At 47.1% G+C, this 17,514-nt stretch overlaps 1 pseudogene; it reads left to right on the top strand.

The window, feature by feature from the left end:
* On the top strand, positions 16,243 to 16,862 carry RPL18AP5 (ribosomal protein L18a pseudogene 5; annotated as a pseudogene).

Genomic DNA, 17,514 nt, shown 5'->3' on the forward strand with positions numbered 1-17,514 from the left:
GCCTTATCTTCTTCTTCCTCTTCTTTTTTTTTTTTTTTTTTTTTGAGACTGAGTCTCGCTCTGTCGACCTGGCTGTAGTTCAGTGGTGCAATCTCAGCTCACTGCAAGCTCCGCCTCCCGGGTTCACGCCATTCTCCTGCCTCAGCCTCCCGAGTAGCTGGGACTACAGGCACCTGCCACCACGCCCGGCTAATTTTTTGTATTTTTAGTAGAGATGGGGTTTCACCGTGTTAGCCAGGATAGTCTCGATCTCCTGACCTCGTGATCCGCCCGCTTCGGCCTTAAAAGCCTTGTCTTCTTAAAAATAATCAGTCAAGGCCAGGCGCGGTGGCTCACGCCTGTAATCCCAGCACTTTGGGAGGCTGAGGTGGGCGGATCACGAGGTCAGGAGATCAAGACCATTCTGGCTAACACGGTGAAACCCCGTCTCTACTAAAAATACATAAAATTAGCCGGGCGTGGTGGCGGGCGCCTGTAGTCCCAGCTACTCGGGAGGCTGAGGCAGGAGAATGGCGTGAACCCGGGAGGCGGAGCTTGCAGTGAGCTGAGATCGCGCCACTGCACTCCAGCCTGGGCGACAGAGCAAGACTCTCATCTCAAAAAAGAAAAAAAAAAATCAGTTAAAATACATAGCAATATTTGTAACCATGTTTGAGCAAGTCATTTTTTGTTTTTTGTTTTTTGTTTTTTTAAGATGGAGTTTCACTCTTGTTGCCCAGGCTGCAGTGCAATGGCGCGATCTCAGCTCACTACAACCTCTGCCTCCTGGGTTCAAGCGATTCTGCTGCCTCAGCCTCCCGAGTAGCTGGGATTACAGGCGCCTGCCACCATGCCCAGTTAATTTTTTGTATTTTTTGTAGACACAGGGTTTCACCATGTTGGCCAGGCTGGTCTCGAACTCTTGACCTCAGGTGATCCACCTGCTTCGGCCTCTAAAAGTGCTGGGATTACAGGCGTGAGCTACCACACCCGGCCAAGTCCTCATTTTTTAACCATTCCAGGCCCACACTGCTTTTGACTCGGAGAGGCCAGGTCTCTGCAGACCCTTCCCCTGCAGATCCAGGACAGCCTCAGGAAGCCTGGACCCTGGGTGGCATCTCCCCCTGCTTAAGCCATGTCTGCTCCCCAATCCCCTCCTTGAATCCTTTCACTAAAAGTGCCTGGAGTTTTATGGCACAAAATGCATGGCCCTAGGAAAGAATCTGCTCAGCCCCTATTAGCTGCGCATTATGAGCAAGTCACACCTTGTTTCTGTCTCTCGCTGTGTTCATGTATATGAAAGCTGGGTGGAGTCACATTACTTGCTTTGTAAGGTTTATTGTAAGGATGAAAAGGCCACTGTATGTCAAGCATAGTTCCTGGTACACAGTCAGCACGCAGTGACTGGGTTCATTTCCTTCTTTTGTTTTTTTTTTTTTTTGAGACAGAGTCTTGCTGTCACCTAGGCTAGAGTACAATGGTGCAATCATAGCTCACAGCAACCTCAAACTCCTGGGCTCAACCGATCCTCCAGCCTCGCCCTCCCGAGCAGCTTGGACTACAGGTACATGCCACCACACCTGACTAATTTTTAAAAATATTTTTGGTAGGGATAGGGTCTTACTATATTGCCCAGGCTGGTCTCAAACCCCTGGTCTTGATTGATTCTCTTGCCTGGGCCTCCCAAAGTATTGGGATTACAGGGGTAAGCCATTGTACTCAGCCGCTCCTTCTTTCATCATAATGTCACAGCCCAGCAAAGCCTTCTTCCAGTCTCCCCGGCACTCACTTCACCACTGCCTCCTTCTATTTCTCAAACACTGGCAGACACACTTCTGCCTCAGGGTCTTTGCACTTGCTATTCCTTCTGCCTGGAACACTCTTCCCCAGATATCCACATGGCTGGTTACCTGACCTCCTTCAAGCCTTTCTGCGAATCTCGCTTCCTGACATGGCCTACTATGTTATAATCCTATGTAATAGTGACACTTCCCCTGCCTGGCCACCACCACTACCACCCAGCCCCTTCCCCTGCTCCTTTTTTCTTCTTTGTATAGCATGTTTCACCTTCTCACATACAGTATAATTCTCCTATTTGTTACTTTTATTCTTTTTTTTTTTTTTTTGAGACAGAGTCTTGCTCTGTCACCCAGGCTGGAGTGCAATGGCATGATCTCGGCTCACTGCAACCTCCACCTGTTGGGTTCAAGCAATTCTCCTGCTTCAGCCTCCTGAGTAGCTGGGATTATAGGCGTGCGCCACCATGCCCAGCTAATTTTTTTTTTTTTTTTTTTGAGACGGAGTTTTGCTCTTGTTGCCCAGGCTGGAGTGCAATGGCGCAATCTTGGCTCACTGCAACCTCCGCCTCCTGGGTTCAAGTGATTCTCCCGCCTCAGCCTCCCTAGTAGCTGGGATTACAGGCACCCGCCACCATGCCCAGATAATTTTTTTTTATTTTTAATAAAGACGGGGTTTCACCATGGCCAGGCTGGTCTCGAACTCCTGACCTCAGGCAATCCACCTGCCTCGGCCTCCCAAAGTGCTGGGATTACAGGCATGAGCCACTGCACCCGGCCTAATTTTTGTATTTTTAGTGGAGACGGGGTTTCACCATGTTGGTCAGGCTGGTCTCGAACTCCTGACCTCGTGATCCACCCGCCTCTGCCTCCCAAAGTGCCAGGATTACAGGTGTGAGCCACCGCGCCCGGCCTATTACCTTTTTTTTTTTTTTTTTTTTTTACTGCATTTTTCTCCCTTCAGAATGTGAGCTCAGCTAGGGCAGGGACCACGTCTATCTCATCCATCACTGTTTCTCCACCATGTAGAACAATGCCCAGTGCATATTGGTACTCAATAAATATTTGCTGAGTGAATGAATCACAGAATGCATTATTTGCACATGAGAAAACCAAGACTCCCAGAGGAGAATTGCTTGTCTGAGGCCATAGAGCTGGGAAGAAGAGGAGCCAGGTTTGGATGCAGGTCTGCCTAACTCTGAAGTCCAGGCTTTTCCCAGTTCTCCAGGCTGATAGCTACCATGAAAAAGCATGTACATGTTGGGTAACTAGAAGAGAGTTCGGAGGTTGGTAAGGAGTTGGAATTTAGGATCCAGCGAATTGCCTTTAAGCTAAGTTCATAATTTTACAATAAACATTTAGTGAGTTCCTACTATGTGCAACTCCCTGTGCTTTCTGCTGGAGGAAAATCAATAATGGATTTGATAAACACCTATCGGCAACCTTGACACCCTAATGTTCACTGACTGGATGTCCCACAGGCACCTCCATCAACTTCACCCACCATCTTCCACTAAACTTGCCCCCATTCTACACTGTCAGAATCCTGTGTGTGTGTGTGTGTGTGTGTGTGTGTGTACTGGAAAAGTTAGGATTTAGCAGATCTGAGGGAACGGGTCCGGGATTGACTTTTTTTTTTTTTTTTTTGAGACGGAGTTTTGCTCTTGTCTCCCAGCTGCAGTGGCACAATCTCGGCTCACTGCTCACTGCAACTTCCGCCTCTTGGGTTCAAGGGCTTCTCCTGTCTCAGCCTCCCGCGTAGCTGGGATTACAACAAGCACCTGCCACCACGCTCAGCTAATTTTTTTGTATTTTTAGTAGAGATGGGGTTTCACCATGTTGATCAGGCTGGTCTTGAACTTCTGACCTCAGGTGATCTGCCCATCTCGGCCTCCCAAAGTGCTGGGATTACAGGCGTGAGCCACCACCCTCAGCCTACACAGCTTTCAGGAAGAGCTGTCTGAGCCATGTTCATCCCCTGTTTAGACAGGCACATACCCCATCCCAGCATGGCACTCAAAGTCCTGCACACGATTTGGCCCACAAACCTTTTTTTCCCCTAATTATTTGTAAGAAAATTTAAAAGTATAAAGGTAATATAGCAAACATCCAAATTCAGAATTATCAGCTGTAACAGTTTGTTATATTTACTTTCAATAATATATGTATATTTTGGCCAGACACAGTAGCTCACTCCAGTAATCCCAGCACCTTAGAAGGCTGAGGTGGGAGGATCACTTGAGGCCAGGAGTTCAAGACCAGCCTAGGCAACATAGGGAGAATCTGTGTCTACAAAATAATTTATGTATTTATTTATTTGTTGTTGTTGGTGGTGGTGGTGGTGTTTTGAGAAGGTCTCACTCTCTCGCCCAGGCTAGAGTGTAGTGGTGTGATTATAGCTCACTGTAGCCTCAAACTCCTGGACTCTAGCCATCCTCCCACCCCAGCTTCCTGAGTAACTAAGACTACAGGTGCATGCCACCATGCCCAGCTAATTTTCTTATTTTTATTTTTAGTAGAGATGAGGTCTTGCTATGTTGCCCAGGCTGATCTTAAGCTCCTGCACTCAGGCAATCCTCCTGCCTCAGCCTCCCAAAGTGCTGAGATTACAGGCATGAGCCACTGTGCCTGGCAAAATAATTTCAAAATTAGCCAGGCATGGCGGTATGCACCTGTAGTCTCTACTACTTGGGAAGCTGAGGCGGGAGGATCACTTAGAGCCCAGAAGTTCAAGGTTACAGTGAGCTATGATCATGCCACTGCACTCCAGCTTGGGCAACATAGCAGGACTCTATCTCCTAAAAAAACTGGCCAGGTGCTGTGGCTCACGCCTGTAATCCCAGCACTTTGGGAGGCCAAGGAAGACAGATCACCTGAGGTCAGGAGTTCAAGACCAGTTTGGCCAACATGCTGAAACTCCATCTCTACTAAAAATACAAAAATTAGCTAGGCGTGGTGGTGCTTGCCTGTAGTCCCAGCTACTCGGGAGGCTGAGACATGAGAATTGCTTGAACCTGGGAGGTGGAGGTTGCAGTGAGCTGAGATCGCACAACTGCACTCCAGCCTGGGTGTCAGAGTGAGACTCCATCACAAAAAGAAAAACAAACCGAAAAACAAACAAAAAACTGCCCTATATGTGTGTGTGTGTACGTTTTTGATGTGTTTTACAGATATCTGTACAATTTTTATCAAATTTTAAAGTCTTTTAAACTATCAGTTACACTTTTCTCCCTTCCTGCTGCCCCAGGCAACATCTATCATAAGTATAATGTGTTATCTTAACACTTTAACACACATCTCTTCATCCCCCACCCACTCCCAGCACTGCCAAATGCTTAAGAGAGTTGTCTACATTGCCTGCATTGTTTTTCTCTCCCATTGTCTCCAACTGATCCGTGGGCTTGCCCTCTCATATGCTGTCCCTAATCTGCTCTTGGCCAGGTGCAGTGGCTCATGCCGGTAATCCCAGCACTTTGGGACACTGAGGTGGGAGGATCGCTTGAGCCCAGGAGTTTGAGGCCAGCCTAGGCAAATAGGGAGACTCCTATCTCTAAAAAAAAAAAAAAAAAAAAAAAAAAATATATATATATATATATATATATAAAATAAATAAAATAGGCCAGGTGCAGTGGCTCATGCCTGTAATCCCAGCACTTTGGAAAGCCAGGATGGGCGGATCACCTGAAGTCAGGAGCTCGAGACCAGCCTGGCCAACATAGTGAAACCCCGTCTCTACTAAAAATACAAAAATTAGCTGGATGTGGTGGCAGGCACCTGTAATCCCAGCTACTCTGGAGGCTGAGGCATGAGAATCGCTTGAATCCAGGAGGCGGAGATTGCAGTGAACCAAGATCGTGCCACTGCACTCCAGCCTGGGTGACAGAGTGAGACTCTGTCTCAATAAATAAATAAATACATAAATATATAAATACATAAATAAATAGCTGCCCTTGTCAATGTTGCCAGTGACCCTCCATGTTGTTCTATCATATGGTCATTTCTCGATCCTCATCTTTCTTTCCCCATCAGCAGACTTCAACATATATAATCACTTGCTCCTTCTGAGAACACTTTCTTCAAATAGCTTATGAGACCCCGCAACCTTCTGGCTTTCCTCCCACTTCATTGGCTGTTCCTTCTCAATTTCCCTTTGTTGATTCCTCCTCCTTCTCTCCTTTTTCCCCCTCTGCCACAACCTCTAAATACTGAGGGCCCCAGGGCTTGGTTCTTGCCTTTTCACTGCTCTGTCTACATTCTTTTCTCTGATGACCTCATCTATTCTCATGATTTCAAGCCCCATCTATATGAGGACAACTCATAGATTTCTATCTCTAGCCCAGTTCCCTACTGTAAACTCCAGACTCCTGCATCCAACTGAACATTCAACATTTTTACCTGGTCGTGCAACAGGCATCTCAAAATCAGCATGTCCAAAACTGAACTCCAGACCTTTCCAACCCCTCCCCAAACCTGCTTCTCCCACTGTCTTCCCCATCCAAGAGATAGCCTCTCCATCTTCCCACTTACTCTGGCCAAAAACTTGAGTCATCCTTGGCTCCTTTCTGTCATATCAATCCTCCACAAATAGTGTCAATTCAATCTTCAAAATATTTCCAGAATCCATCCATTTCTGACCACCTCCATTGCCCACTCTGGTCCAAGCAGTGCCATTTTCCCCACCCAGATTATTGTTTCAACAAAGCAGCCAGAAGGATCCCTTTAAAAGCCTAAGTCAGATGGTGTCATCCCCTGCCAGACCCCCACCTCGGGGTCCTTATTATGACCTACGAAGCCCCACCCAGTCTACTCCCACCTCTCTCTCTGGCCTCCTCTCCTTTATTCCTTCCTCTTCCCTTTTCTCTCCACGTTAACCACCCTGGCTTCCTTCCTATTTATTCCTTAAATACTCCAGGTTTACCCCTTTCAGAGCCTTTGAGCTTACTGTTTCCCCCAGATAGCTACATGGTTTCCTCCTTCACTTCCTTGCTATCTTTGCACAAATGTCTCTCAGTGAGGCATTCCCTGACCAGTCTATTTTTTTTTTGAGATGGAGTCTCGCTCTGTTGCCTAGGTTGGAGTGCAGTGGCTTAACCTTGGCTCACTGCAACCTCCACCTCCCAGATTCAAGCGATTCTCCTGCCTCAGCCTCCCGAGTAGCCAGGATTATAGGCGTGCGCCACCATGCCCGGCTAATTTTTATATTTTTAGTAGAGACAGGAGTTTCACCATGTTGGCCAAGCCTGGTCTCGAACTCCCAACCTCAGGTGATCCACCCGCCTCGGCCTCCCAAAGTGGTGGGATTACAGGCGTGAGCCACCGTGCCCGGCTGTACTGTATATTTCTATTGCCTGTGTTGACCCACTAGACTGTAAGCTCCTCAATGGCAGAAATTTGAGGCAGTAGAGCATAATGATTAATAGGGCTAACTTGGATCCAAACTGTATGGATTCGAATGCTGTCTCTACCACTATCATTTCTTTTCTTTTCTTTCTTTCTTTTTTTTTTTTTTGAGAGGTCTCACTCTATTGCCCAGGCTGGGCAGTGGCACAATCATGGCTCAGTGCATCCTTGACCTCCTGGGTTCAAGCAATCCTCCTGCCTCAGCCACCCGAATTGCTGGTACTACAGGCCTGGATAATTTTGTATTTTTAGTGGAAACGGGGTTTCACCATGTTGGCCAGGCTGGTCTCAAACTCCTGACCTTAGGTGATCCACCTGCCTCGGCCTTCCAAAGTGCTGGGATTACAGGCGTGAGCCACCACGCCCAGCCTTAATGTTTTATTTTTTGTAGAGATGAGACCTTGTTATGTTGCCCAGGCTGGCCTAAAACTCCTGAGCTCAAGCAGTCTTCCTTCCTCGACCTCCCAAAGTGCTGAGATTACAGGCATGAGCCACTGTCTCCAGCCTCTACCACTGTCTAGTCATGTGACCTTTGGCAAGTTATTTAACTTCACTGCACCCCAGTGTCTTAATCTAAAAGATGGGGTAAGGGGGTTGGGCGTGGTGGCTCATGTCTGTAATCCTAGCACTTTGGGAGGCTGAGGCGGGAGGATTGCTTGAGCTCAGAAGTTCGAGACCAGCCTGGGCAACATGGTGAAACCCCATATCTACCAAAATATGAAAAAAAAAAAAAAAAAAAATAGCCGGGTGTGGTGGTGTGCGCCTGTAGTCCCAGCTACTCGGGAGGCTGAGGCAGGAGAATTGCTTGAACTTGGGAGGCAGAGGTTGCAGTCAGCCAAGATCGTGCCACTGTACTCCAGCCTGGGAAACAGAGCAAGACTGTCTCTAAAAAAAAAAAAAAAAAAAAAGAGGATAATAGTAGAACCTATATTGTAAGGATATTGTAAGGATTAAATGAGTTAATGAATGTAAACTGTAAACTGTTTGGAATTGTACCTACATAAGTGCTTGCTGCAATTATTATTATTTATGAATGGCTGGGCACAGTGGCTCCTGTCTGTAATCCCAGCATTTTGGGAGGCCAAAGCAGGCAGATCGCTTGGACTCAGGAGTTCAAGACCAGCCTGGGCAACATGGTGAAACCCCATCTCTACTAAAAACAGAAAAAATTAGCCAAGTGTGGTGGTGTACACCTGTGGTCCCAGCTACTCAGGAGGCTGGGGCAGAAGGATTGCTTGAGCCTGGGAGGTAGAGTTTGCAGTGAGTCAAGATCATGCTACTGCACTCCAGCCTAGGCAACAAAATGAGACTCTGTCTAAAAAAAATAAAATAAAATAAAATAAAACAATGACTGGCTGGCTCCTGGTAAGTCCTATATAACTGTTAGCTATTGCTATTCTCTGCTGTATCCCCAGACCTGAGAATAGCACTTAGAACATAATAAGACATTCAGGAAAAAATTTGTGAGATGAATTAATTAAGACATGTGCATACATAAACAATGGTATTTTTGTGTGCCCTTAAAATGTATATCAATAACATTATATCATACACATTCTTCTTCATCTTTACTTTTTCACACATTATATTTATAACATCAAGCCATGCTGATACATATAAATCTCATCGTGTCCTTTTAACTGTTTTAAATATTGCATATATTAATATACCTCAATTTTTATATCTGTTCTTTTTTTTTTTTTTTTTTTTTTTTGAGAGAGGGTCTCCCTCTGGCACCCAGGCTGGAGTGCGGTGGCACAATCTCAGCTCAGTGCAACCTCTGCCTCCCAGGTTCAAGCAATTCTTGTGTCTCAGCCTCCCGAGTAGCTGGGATTGCAGGCGTGTGCCACCACATCCGGCTAATTTTTGTATTTTTAGTAGAGATGGGGTTTTGCCATGTTGGCCAGGCTGGTCTCAAACTCCTGACCTCAGGTGATCCACCCACCTCGGCCTCTCAAAGTACTGGAATTACAGGTGTGAGCCACCAAGCCCGGCCTCTGTTCCCCTGTTAATGGCCATTCAGGTTGTTCCAATTTTATGTTATTATGAACAATGTTGTATCAAACATCCTTGTACATCTCTCTTTCTTTTTTTTTTTTTTTTTTTTTTTTTTGAGATGGAGTCTTGCTCTGTCACCCATACTGGAGTGCAATGGCGTGATCTCGGCTCACTGCAACCTCCACCTCCCGGGTTCAAGCGATTCTCCTGCCTCAGCCTCCCGAGTAGCTGGGATTACAGGCACTCACCACCAAGCCCAGCTAATTTTTGTATTTTTAGTAGAGATAGGATTTTACCATGTTGGCCAGGCTGGCCTTGAGCTCCTGACCTCAGTTGATTCACCCACCTCCGCCTCTCAAAGTGCTGGGATTGCAGGTATGAACCACCGCACCTGGCCCCAAATCTTTAGTAAAGCACATATTGCACTCTATTAATTGTCGTTTGTTTAATTGTGTGCCTGTTGCTCCCACTACTTTGTTATTACTTGAGAAGCGGGGCCCTATTCGGTTTGTCTTTAACCAAGCACTGAGCTTGATGCAGTCAGTGTTTACTGAACGAATGAATGAGGGAACGAATGAATGAGGCTACCGTCTGGATCGGCGGTCCTTGGACGTTTTTCTCTTGTGCCCCCTAAAATAATTTTTTATATTTATTTTATTATTTCATTTTTTTTTGAGACAGGGTCTCACTCTGTCACCCAGACCGAAGTGCAGTGGTGTGATCTCAGCTCCCTATAGTCTCGACTTCCCAGGCTCAAGTGATCCTTCCACCTCAGTCTCCTAAGCAGCTGAGACTATAGGTGCATGCTACCACGCTTGGCTAATTTTTGCATTTTTTGTAGAGACAAGGTTTCACCATGTTGCCCAGGCTGGTCTCAAACTCCCGAGCTCAAGTGATCCACCCACCTCGGCCTCCCAAAGTGCTGGGATTACAGGCATGAGCCACTACGCCTGGCTTAAAATAATTTTTTAAAACTTTGCACCCCCTCTTTGTGAGGATTCTAACAGGAAACAAATGGCACAATCAAGACAATTCAAGGAGGTTATATACACAAAACGACTAATTTGGATGTGTGATCAGGGTATAGGGAAATCACAGGGGATCGGGCAGGAAGCTGGGACTGGTAGCAGCCAGGCTGTTACCACCCCAGGCCTGAAGAGGCAAATCCTCTGTCTTAAAAGGAGCACTACTAACTTTCTGTCCAGGGACAGGACCAGCTTCACTGGGCCTCACAGGACAGGAACCAGAGGGATACATCCTGGCCTCACTCCTTTCCCTCTCTCAGACTTCCTGCCAGGACTCCCTAGTGGCCAAACCAAAGTAGAACCCAAGACCAGCGGGCACAGGAGCCACTGATATCCTCCATCCAAGTCAGCCAACCAGGGGAGAGGCAGGGTGGAGGACAGAGCCTGGATCTGCAGGGATACAACTAAACTCTTCACCTTAAACACAAATCATTGCCAAGGCTATACCTCCTAGCATATTGGAAATATTAATATTTTATTTATCTTTATTTATTTTTATTTTATTTATTTATTTATTTTCCAAGATGGAGTCTCGCTCTGTTGCCTAGGCTGGAGTGCAGTGGCACGATCTTGGCTCACTGCAACCTATGCCTCCTGGGTTCAAGCAATTCTCCTCCCTCAGCCTCCCAAGTAGCTGGGATTACAGGCACCTGCCACCACGTCCGGCTAATTTTTGTATTTTTGGTAGAGACGGGGTTTCCCAATGTTGGCCAGGCTGGTCTCGAATTCCTGACCTCAGGTGATCCACCCGCCTCGGCCTCCCAGAGTGTTGGGATTACAGGCGTGAGCCATTGTGCCCAGCCAATATTAATATTTTAAATAAAACTGTTCTATCACTCGACTCAATGTAAGTACCATGGTGATTTGATATCCATTATTACCCATTTAAAGAAATTACTGGGCCAGGTGCGGTGGCTCATGCCTCTAATCCCAGCAGTTTGGGAAGCCGAGGCAGGCGGATCACCTGAGGTCAGGAGTTCGAGACCAGCCTGGCCAATATGGTGAAATCCTGTCTCTTCTAAAAATACAAAAATTAGCCATGCCTGGTGGCAGGTGCCTGTAGTCCCAGCTACTCAGGAGGCTGAGACAGGAGAATCACTTGAACCCGGGAGGCGGAGGTTGCAGTGAGCCAAGATTTTGCCACTGAACTCCTGCCTCGGCGACAGAGCAAGACTCTGTCTGGGGGGAAAACAAAGAAAAGAAAATACTGAACAAGCTCTACTTTAAAAAACAGAAAGCTACATCATTACTTTTCTTCTTGAATGTATGGTTATATTTTGCTTCCTCTTACAGAATGGTATTCTAGAGTAATATATTTTATGCTTGAAAGCTTGTTATTTGGCTGGGCACAGTGGCTCATGCCTGTAATCCCAGCACTTTGGGAAGCCAAAGTGAGTGGATTCCCTGAGGTCAGGAGTTCAAGACCAGCCTGGCCAATATGGCAAAACCCTGTCTCTACTGAAAATACAAAAACTAGCCAGGCACCATGGTGCACACCTGTAATCCTAGGTACTTGGGAGGCTGAGGCAGGAGAATCATTTGACCTAGGAGGCAGAGGTTGCAATGAGTCGAGATCGTGTGCCACTGTACTCCAGCCTGGGCAACAGAGCCAGAAAAAAGAAAGCTTGTTATTGATCACCTAATTTATATTTTCACAGAAATTTATATAGTGTTAAATTACAATTTACAAATTTGGGGGTCAGGCGGTGGTGGCTCACTTTGGGAGGCCAAGGTGGGAGGATCGCTTGACCTTGAGGCCAGGAGTTTGAGACTATAGTGAGCTGTGACTGCATCACTGCACTCCAGCCTGGGTGACAGCAAGACCCCGTCTCTAAAAAATAAAAATAACAGGCCAGGTGCAGTGGCTCATGCCTATAATCCCAGGACTTTGGGAGGCCGAGGAGGATTGCTTGAGCTCAGGAGTTCGAGACCAGCCTGGACAACATAGAGACCCTGTCTCTACAAAAAAATACAAAAGTTAGCCGGGCATGGTGGTACATGCCTTTAGTCCCAGCTACTTGGGAGGCCGAGGTGGGAGGATTGCTTGAGCCTGGGAGGCAGAGGTTGCAGTGAGCTGAAGTCATACCACTGCACTCCAGCCTGGGTGACAGAGCCAGATGCTATCTTTAAAAAGTAAAATTATGGCCAGGTGCAGTGGCTCATGCCTGTAATCCCAGCACGTTGGGAGGCCAACGTTGGTGGATCACCTGAGGTCAGGAGTTTGAGACCAGCCTGACCAACATGGAGAAACCCTGTCTCTACTAAAAAATACAAAATTAGCCAGGTGTGGTGGCGCACACCTTTAGTCCCAGCTACTTGGGAGGCTGAGACAGGAGAATAGCTTGAACCCAGGAGATGGAGGTTGTTCAGCTTGTGCAGTGAGCCGAGATCATGCCATTGCACTCCAGCCTGGGCAACAAGAGCAAAATTCCATCTCAAAAAAAAAAAAAAAAGAAGTAAAATTGTATTTATATATAAAATAAAAATAATAATAAATAATAAAATATTAGGTTGGTGCAAAAGTTATTGCGGTTTCAGACCATGAATTTTAAATCATTATAATTAGGCTCAAACACATCTTTATTAATCAAAATAGGAACCATTACAATCAACACATTTTTGCCAACGAGAAATAAGTTTGTTTATTTCTGTAGTGTAAAACTCTGTGCTTCAGGATTCTACGAACTCGTGGAAAGCATTTTCTGCATCCTGCTGGTTGTGGAAGCATTTTCTCTGCAAAAAGTTGTCAAGGTGCTTGAAGAAGTGGTGATGGGTTGGCAAGCGGTCAGGTGACTATGGCAGATGAGGCAAAACTTTGTAGCCTAATTCATTCAACTTTTGAAGAGTTAGTTGTGCGATCTGCAGTTGGATGTTGTGGAGAAGAATTGGGCCCTTTCTATTGACCAATGCCGGCTGCAGGCGTTGCAGTTTTTGGCACATTTCATCGATTTGCTGAGCATACTTCCCAGATGTAAGGGTTTCACCAGGATTCAGAAAGCTGGAGTGGATCAGACCGGCAACAGACAACCAAACAGTGACCAGAACCTTTTTTGGTGCAAGTTTGGTTTTGGGAAGTGCTTTGGAGCTTCTTCTCAGTCCAACCACTGAGCTGGTTGTTCCCACTTGTCTAAAATCCACTTTTTGTCCCATGTTACAATCTGATCAAGAAATGGTTGTTGCGTAGAATAAGAGAAAACAATACTTCAAAACGACAATTTTATTTAATTTTCGCTCATCTCATGAGGCACCCACTTATCTAGCTTTTTCACCTTTCCAATTTGCTTCAAATGCCAGATGACAGTAGAATGGTCGACATTGATTTCCTTGGCAACTTCTTGTGTAGTTGCAAGACGATCAGTTTCCATGATTGCTTTCAATTGGTCGTTGTCATCTTCCGATGGCCGGTCACTACACTCCTCATCTTCAAGGCTCTCGTCTCCTTTGCAAAACTTCTTGAACCATTACTGCACTGTATGTTTGTTAGTGGTTCCTGGGCCAAATGCGCTGTTGATGTTGCAAGTTGTCTTCTCTGTTTTACGACCCATTTTGAACCCGAATAAGAAAATTGCTTGAATTTGCTTCTTGTCTAACATAATTTCCATAGTGTAAAATAAACATAAAATAAACAGCAAGTAATAAGTCATTAGCAAAAAAACATAAAGCAAGAAATGTCCATTATAATGATGTATAACATAGGCTGGGAATGGTGGCCCATGCCTGTAATCCCAGCACTTTGGGAGGCTAAGGCAGGCGGATCACCTGAGGTCAGGAGTTCGAGACCAGCCTGACCAACATGGAGAAACACTGTCTCTACTAAAAATACAGAAATTAGCCAGGCGAGGTGGCACATGCCTGTAGTCCCAGCTACTTGGGAGGCTGAGGCAGGAGAATCGCTTGAATCCAGGAGGCAGAGATTGCAGTGAGCCGAGATTGCACCACTGTACTCCAGCCTGGGCAACAAGATCAAAACTCCATCTCAAAAAAAAAAAAAAAAAAGAATGACTGGAGGCAAAACACAGAGACTTATGCCTATAATCCAACACTTTGGGGAGGCCAAAGCAGGAGGATCACTTGAGCCCAGAATTTTGAAGTTGCAGTCAGCTATGATCACACCACTGAACTCCAGCCTGGGTAAAACCAGCCTGTCTCTCTCTCTCTTTTTTTTTTTTTTTTTTTTTTTTGAGACGGAGTCTCGCTCTGTCGCCGCCCAGGCAGGAGTGCAGTGGTGTGATCTCAGCTCACTGCAAGCTCTGCCTCCCGGGTTCACGCTATTCTCCTGCCTCAGCCTCCGGAGTAGCTGGGACTACAGGCGCCCACCACCATGCCCGGCTAATTTTTTTGTGTGTTTTTAGTAGAGACAGGGTTTCACCGTGTTAGCCAGGATGGTCTCGATCTCCTGACCTCGTGATCTGCCCACCTTGGCCTCCCAAAATGCTGGGATTACAGGCGTGAGCCGCCGTGCCCGGCCTTTTTTTTTTTTTTTTTTTTAAGAAAAAAAAAAAAGTCTTGCTCTGTCACCCACACTGGAGGGCAGTGGTGTGATCTTGGCTCACTGCAACCTCTGCCTCCCGGGTTCAAGCAGTTCTCTGCCTCAGCCTCCTGAGTAGCTGGGATTACAGGCACCTGCCACCACACCTGGCTAATTTTTGTATTTTTAGTAGAGATGGGGGTTTCACCATGTTGGCCAGGCTGGTCTTGAACTCCTGACCTCGTGATCCACCCGCCTTGGCCTCCCAAAGTGCTGGGATTACAGGCGTGAGCCACCGAGCCTGGCCAAGACCCTGTCTTTAAAAAGAAAAAAGAATGGAGGGAATTTTGTTACAATAATGTCTGTCACCCAGGCTGGAGTGTGGTGACACAATCTTGGCTCACTGCAACCTCCACCTCCTAGGTTCAAGCAATTCTCATTCCTCAACCTCCCGAGTAGCTGGGACTACAGGTGCCACCATGCCCAGCTAATTTTGTATTTTAGTAGAGACAGGGTTTCACCATGTTGACCAGGCTGGTCTCGAACTCCTGACCTCAAGTGATTCATTCACCTCGGCCTCCCAAAGTGCTGGGATTACAGGTGGGAGCCACCATGTCTGGCTTTTTTTTTTTTTTTTTTTGAGATGGAGTCTTCCTCTGTCACCCAGGCTGGAGTGTAGGGTCATGATCTCAGCTCACTGCAACCTCTGCCTCCTGGGTTCAAGCAATCCTCCCACCTCAGCCTCCTGAGTAGCTAGTTTACAGTTGTGTGGCACTATGTCTGGCTATGTTTTTCGTATTTTTAGTAGAGACTAGTTTTCACCATGTTGGCCAGGCTGGTCTCGAACTCCTGACCTCAAGCGATCCACCCGCTCGGCCTCCCAAAATACTGGGATTATAGGCGTGACCACCGCGCCTGACCATAGTAATGTCACTTAATTATTTGAATTCCTTCTGGGTTACAAGCCAAAAATGACACAGTGACCTATCACCCAAAGTTATTTTTAATGACAGCAGAATTAGAACTTCCTTTGCATTTGTTGAAAGCAAAGATCTGGCAACTGCCAGGTATGCAAAGCTCCTTGTTATTTGGTAGATAGAGCCCTTCACCTTTGATTGGTGCCCCTGGAGGTTTCCATTCCCTCTCCAGCCCCCAACCCCCAATGCTGTAGGGTAAAATTCCTTTGCAAAGTGTGAGGAGGGAGGTGGGAAAGAAGCAGCACCTGGATGTCAGTGCCAATTCTCCTGAAGATGGATCATAGGAAAGAAAACCAATGGAGGTTGGGGACCTGGATGTCAATTTCCTAGAAACACAGGAAACTAATGGAAAAGTGAGACCTGGCCAGGCAGGGTGACTCACGCCTGTAATCCCAGGAATTTGGGAGGCCGAGGTAGGAGGATCCCTTGAGCCCAGGAGTTGGAGATCAGCCTGGGCAACATAGTGAGACCCCTGGGAGTAGGGGAGCTGAGGATCACTTGCACCTGGGAGGTTGAGGCTGCAGTGAGCTAGGATCGTCCAACTGCACTCCAGCCTGGGCAATAAAGTGTGACCCTGACTTAAAAAAAAAGAGAAAGAGTCCTTTTGCGGGTGGCAACCAGCGCCGAGAGGACGCCACGAAGGCCTTGGGCACACTATGAGAGTACAAGGTGGTGGGTCGCTGCCTGCCCACCCCCAAATGCCACACACCGCCCCTCTACCGCATGGGAATCTTTGCGCCTAATCATGTCGTCGCCGAGTCCCGCTTCTGGTACTTCGTATCTCAGTTAAAGAAGATGAAGAAGTTTTCAGGGGAGATTGTCTACTGTGGGCCGGTGTTTGAGAAGTTCCCCTGGGGGTGAAGAACTTCGGCATCTGGCTGCACTATGACTCCCGGAGCGGCATCCACAACATGTACTGAGAATACTGGGACCTGAACACCGCGGGCGCTGTCACCCAGTGCTACCGAGACATGGGCGCCCGGCACCGCGCCTGGACCCATTCCATCCAGATCACGAAGGTGGAGGCGATCGCAGCCAGCAAGTGCCCGCGGCCGGCCGTCAAGCAGTTCCACGACTCCAAGATCAAGTTTCCGCTACCCCACCGGGTCCTGCGCTGTCAGCACAAGCCACACTTCACCACCCGGAGACCCAACACCTTCTTCTAGGTACAGGGCCCTCGCCCGGTGTGTGCCCCAAATAAACTCAGGAACACCCCGGTATTAAAAGAAAGAAAGATTCCAGACGCAGTGGCTTACACCTGTAATCCCAGCACTTTGGGAGGCTGAGGCGGGCGGATCACCGGAGCTCAGGAGTTCGAGACCAGCCTTGCCAACATGATGAAACCCCATCTCTGCTAAAAATACAAAAATTAGTTGGGCCTGGTGGTGCATCCCTGTCTGTAATCCCAGCTACTCTGGAGGCTGAGGCATGAGAATTACTTGAACCTGGGAGGTAGAGGTTGCAGTGGGCCGAGATCACGCCACTGCACTCCAACTTGGGCAACAGAGTGAGACTTTGTCTCCAAAAAAAGAAAGAGAGAGACAGAGGCACTGGGAGTTCATTGTAGAAGGAAAATTACAATAGGGGGGAAAGGGTGCGTTTGAGAAGGCACTCATCATCCCCTCCCATGCTGGCACAGGGTTCCTCTGGATGGCCACTTCTGTTTCTCACTCTGGGCTAGGAATTCTTGTTTTCCAGAGAGTTCCCAGTGCCAGGGCATGGGACCTGCTCAGGAAATGGTTGATTCACTGGCTGCATGAATGAATGAATGAATAGCATTTGAAGGACAGCTAGCACTTGACTATAGGAAACAGGAGAATGAGTATTCCTGAGAAAATTAAAAATATACTTTAAAATTAAGAAGTGAAGGC

This window comes from Homo sapiens, chromosome 1, assembly GCF_000001405.40.
Source record: "Homo sapiens chromosome 1, GRCh38.p14 Primary Assembly".
NCBI lineage: Eukaryota > Metazoa > Chordata > Mammalia > Primates > Hominidae > Homo > Homo sapiens.